Here is a 4539-nt window from a genome sequence, read left to right on the forward strand (position 1 = left end):
GTTGAATTTCAGAACCACTGTCCTAATCTAACCTGTAGTATTCTGAAATGATAATCTGAATATAATTGAGTTAGATACCTTCTTTTCTGATAAAAAGAACATTATATCTATAAGCAGGTGTAGGGAGCTTTGTTTAGCTAAAGAAATTAAAGTGCTATGATAGGAATGTTAGACATTAACTAGAAAGGAATCTGGGAATAGGGGCAGAGGTTGTTCATGATTTTCTTTTTGAGGTACAGGATCCTTCCCAGAAAAATCACACCATGTGGTCAGCCATCTTCTCTCCTTGAGCTAAAGCTCTTTTTGTGTTGACTATGAGTTTATATTTTAACCTACTCCAGGCAAACTCTTCCCCATAATCAAATAAAGTTTTCAAAGACAGTGAAGATTAGCAAACAAAGCCTTGCATTAGACAGAAGGGCTGGGAAACACTAAAAGCAACCTTGAGCCAAGATGTCTCCCTGGTAATCCAGCAGGTCCACCACTAGGATAGTAAATAACTCTGATGACATCATGGCATGATGTCTGGTGACTCTCGGTCACCACAGTAGGGGCAGAAGAGTGAGGTTTTCTGATCCACTGATCCATTTGGTCCTTCAGTGACCCCTTTGGCGCTGATAGAATCTTTTTTTTTTTTTTTTTTTTTTTTTTGAGAGAGGGTCTGGCTCTGTCACCCAGACTGGAATGCAGTGGTGCAATCTCGGCTTACTGCAGCCTCTGCCTCCTGGGCTCAAGTGAGCCTCTTGAGTAGCTGGGATGACAAGTATGTGCCACTACGACCAGATAATTTTTGTTTTTTTGTTTTGGTAGAGATGGGGCTTCACCATATATTGCTCAGGCTGGTCTTGAACTCCTGGGCTCAAGTGATCTGCTGGTTTTGACCTCCCAATGTGTTAAGATTACAGATATGAGCCACTGTACCTGGCTCATAGAATTTTTTTTTTTTTTTTGAGACGGCGTCTGTCTCTGTTGCCCAGGCTGGAGTGCAGTGGCACGATCTCGTCCCACTGCAAGCTCCGCCTCCCAGGCTCACGCCATTCTCCCGCCTCAGCCTCCTGAGTAGCTGGGACTACAGGCGCCTGCCACCACGCCTGGCTAATTTTTTTTTTTTGTATTTTTAGTAGAGACGGGGTTTCACCGTGTTAGCCAGCATGGTCTCAATCTCCTGACCTCCTGATCCGCCTGCCTTGGCCTCCCAAAGTGTTGGGATTACAAGGCGTGAGCCACCGCGCCCGGTCAGCTCATAGAATCTTTAGAGAAGAATCTTTGTAGGTGGGATGATACGTGCTTCTGGACATCATGTGAATCATCATATTTCCAGCTTTTAAGCATATTAATGAGGATTTGAACAATGTCTTAAAGCAGGAGTACTGTTTTATTATGAAAGAAGCTTCCTAGTTGACAAACTTTTCATACAGAGTCAAACTTCATTCTAATGGCAATAATTATTATATTATAAGAAACTGGGGGGCCGGGCATGGTGGCTCACGCCTGTAATCCCAGCACTTTGGGAGGCCGAGGTGGGTGGATCACGAGGTCAGGAGATCGAGACCATCCTGACTAACACCGTGAAACCCCATCTCTACTAAAAATACAAAAAATTAGCCAGGCATGGTGGCGGGCGCCTGTAGTCCCAGCTACTCGGGAGGCTGAGGCAGGAGAATGGTGTGAACCGGGAGGCGGAGCTTGCAGTGAGCCGAGATCGCGCCACTGTACTCCAGCCTGGGCGACAGAGAGAGACTCTGTCTCAAAAAAATTAAAAAATTAAAAAATTAAAAAAAAAAAAGAAACTGGGATCATGTTGAATTTGCCTGAAACAAATCCAAGGAGTTAGATTGCTTCAGAGGTCACCTGATAGAAATAGCTCATAAATTCCCTAGGAGTAAATCACTCTTACTAGGCCTGAAGACATGCTTCAAGTCAGAATGTGATAGTAATGATTCACTCTGGGATTTCATTTCAAGCCACAGGAACTAAAAATGCAAGTACAGTTCCCAATGCGAAACGCAACCTGTAATCTTAATCCATTTAACTTCCTCAAATTGCTGTATTACTCAAAACAGCTGATTTCTTCATTGAGCATAGATGAATTTCCTCTGTGGCAAATGTCACCATCTGACCCAAGGATATGTCTAGGCCCTCCTTACCACCTGTGAGCTCTCCTTCAAGGAAAGGCCGTTGAGCAAGCCCAATTGGTCTAGTTAAGAGCCTGTGCTTTGGAATCACTTAAGAGCCTGTGCTTTGGAATCAGATTACCTGTGTTGGAATCTACCAATATGGCTTGGTAGGAGCGTATTTTTGGATGTATCTCTTAACCTTCCTAAACTACAATTCCCTCAACTGGAAAATGGAGAAACAATAATACTGACGTCATAGTATCAGCAGTTGCACAGGATCTAGTATAAAGGTGGTCAGGTATAAAAGTGGTCAATAAATATTAGTTCTTATTTAAGGAGGTAATATTATAATGGTTAAGAGGAGGATTTTAAGGCCAAATTGTCTAGTTCGAATCCCAATTCTGCCACTTACTTTGTAAAAGTTACCTAATCACTTGGGGCCAAGGTTGAGGACAGGTGCCTGGGAAACACCGGGAAGTACTCCAGGGAATAAATGAGAGGCTCCAATTTTTATTTTTATTTATTTATTTATTAAGGCGGAGTTTCACTCTTTTGCCCAGGCTGGAGTGCAATGGTGCGGTCTCAGCTCACTGCTATCTCTGCCTCCCGGGTTCAAGTGATTCTCCTGCCTCAGCCTCCCAAGTAGCTGGGATTATAGGCACCTGACACCACGCCCAGCTAATTTTTGTATTTTTAGTAGAGATGGGGGTTTCACCATTGGCCAGGCTGGTCTCGAACTCCTGACCTCAGGTGGTCTACCCACCTTGGCCTCTCAAAGTGCTGGGATTACAGGCTTGAGCCACCGCACCTGGCAGAGGCTCCAGTTTTTAAAGAAAAAAGGACAGCTCCGGAAAAGGGATTGAATGCAAAAGTTGTTCATCAGGAATTCTCATTAGTTTACAGGAATAACACTGAATAGTGATTGGCTATACATTGCTGAACTGTAGGCTATGAGTTATGGTGTCCAGGATATGGCATTTTTTGGCTCCTTTGTGTCAGTCTAGAGCTCATATAGCAAGTGGCTTCAAGAAGTGATTCCTGGGCCGGGCGCAGTGGCTCACGCCTGTAATCCCAGCACTTTGGGAGGCCGAGGTGGGCGGATCACGAGGTGAGGAGATCGAGACCATCCTGGCTAACACGGTGAAACCCCGTCTCTACTAAAAGTACAAAAAATTAGCCGGGCATGGTGGCGGGCGCCTGTAGTCCCAGCTACTCGGGAGGCTGAGGCAGGAGAATGGCGTGAACCCGGGAGGCGGAGCTTGCAGTGAGCTGAGATCATGCCACTGCACTCCAGCCTGGGAGACAGAGTGAGACTCCATCTCAAAATAAAAGAGGTGATTCTTTAGCTTGAGGGAAGAGTGATAGTCCTGTCACATTTCAAATGCCTCTCTGGGCATGATAATTTAAAGGGGCTTGCATGCCTCAGATGCAAATTTCTTTTTCTTTCCCATAGCACACTAGGAGAGAGTACAAATGAGGCCCACCTATCGTGTTTTAAATACTTAGAAGTTGTACATCAAGTTAAATAACTCTTAAATAAAATGTTTTCTGTTCTCCTATCTTGACAAATATACCTTCATAGCAAACTAGGTTCAGGTTCAAATGTAGAATTTTTAGAGTTCCACACCAGAGGTGGGAGGAACAGAGGGAGCCAGCCCCTGGACACTGGGTTCTGGCCTCCAGCTACTTCTCTTACCCAGCTTCTTCCTGCACCCAGCCCTAGTATCCAGGGCTCCCCAGCCCCCGTCCCATACACATACCTGTGGTAACAGTGTGCTACCTGGAAATCTCCAGGGAAGTGCCAGGTAGATGCTCTGGAAGTTGGTGTGCGCTCTTTCGGCAAAAGAAATTCCAGAGTCAGCCGGGCACAGTGGCTCACGCCTATAATCCCAGCACTTTGGGAGGCCCAGGCGGGCAGATCATGAGGTCAAGAGATCAAGACAATCCTGGCCAACATGGTGAAACCCTGTCTCTACTAAAAATACAAAAGTTAGCTGGGTGTGGTGGCACACGCTTGTAGTGCCAGCTACTCGGGAGGCTGAGGCAGGAGAATAGCCTGAACCAGGAGGCAGAGGTTGCAGTGAGCTGAGATTACGCCACTGCACTCCAGCCTGGTGACAGAGTGAGACTCTGTCTAAAATAAATAAATAAATAAATAAATAATTCCAGAGTCCAGGAATGCATTCTGAAGTGGAGTATTATGGACTAAATGTTTGTGTCCCCCAATATTCCTGTGTTGAAGCCCTAACCCCCAGTGTGGCTGTATTTGGAGATAGGGCCTCTAAAAAAGTAATTAAGATTAAATGAGATTATAAGGATGAGGTTCTGATCTCATAGGCTTAGTGTCCTTATAGGAAGTGACATCAGAGAGCAGTCTATGCACAGGCACTGAAGAAAGGCATGTGAGGACAGTGAGAAGGGG

The sequence above is a fragment of the Homo sapiens genome, chromosome 5, assembly GCF_000001405.40.
Source record: "Homo sapiens chromosome 5, GRCh38.p14 Primary Assembly".
Lineage (NCBI taxonomy): Eukaryota > Metazoa > Chordata > Mammalia > Primates > Hominidae > Homo > Homo sapiens.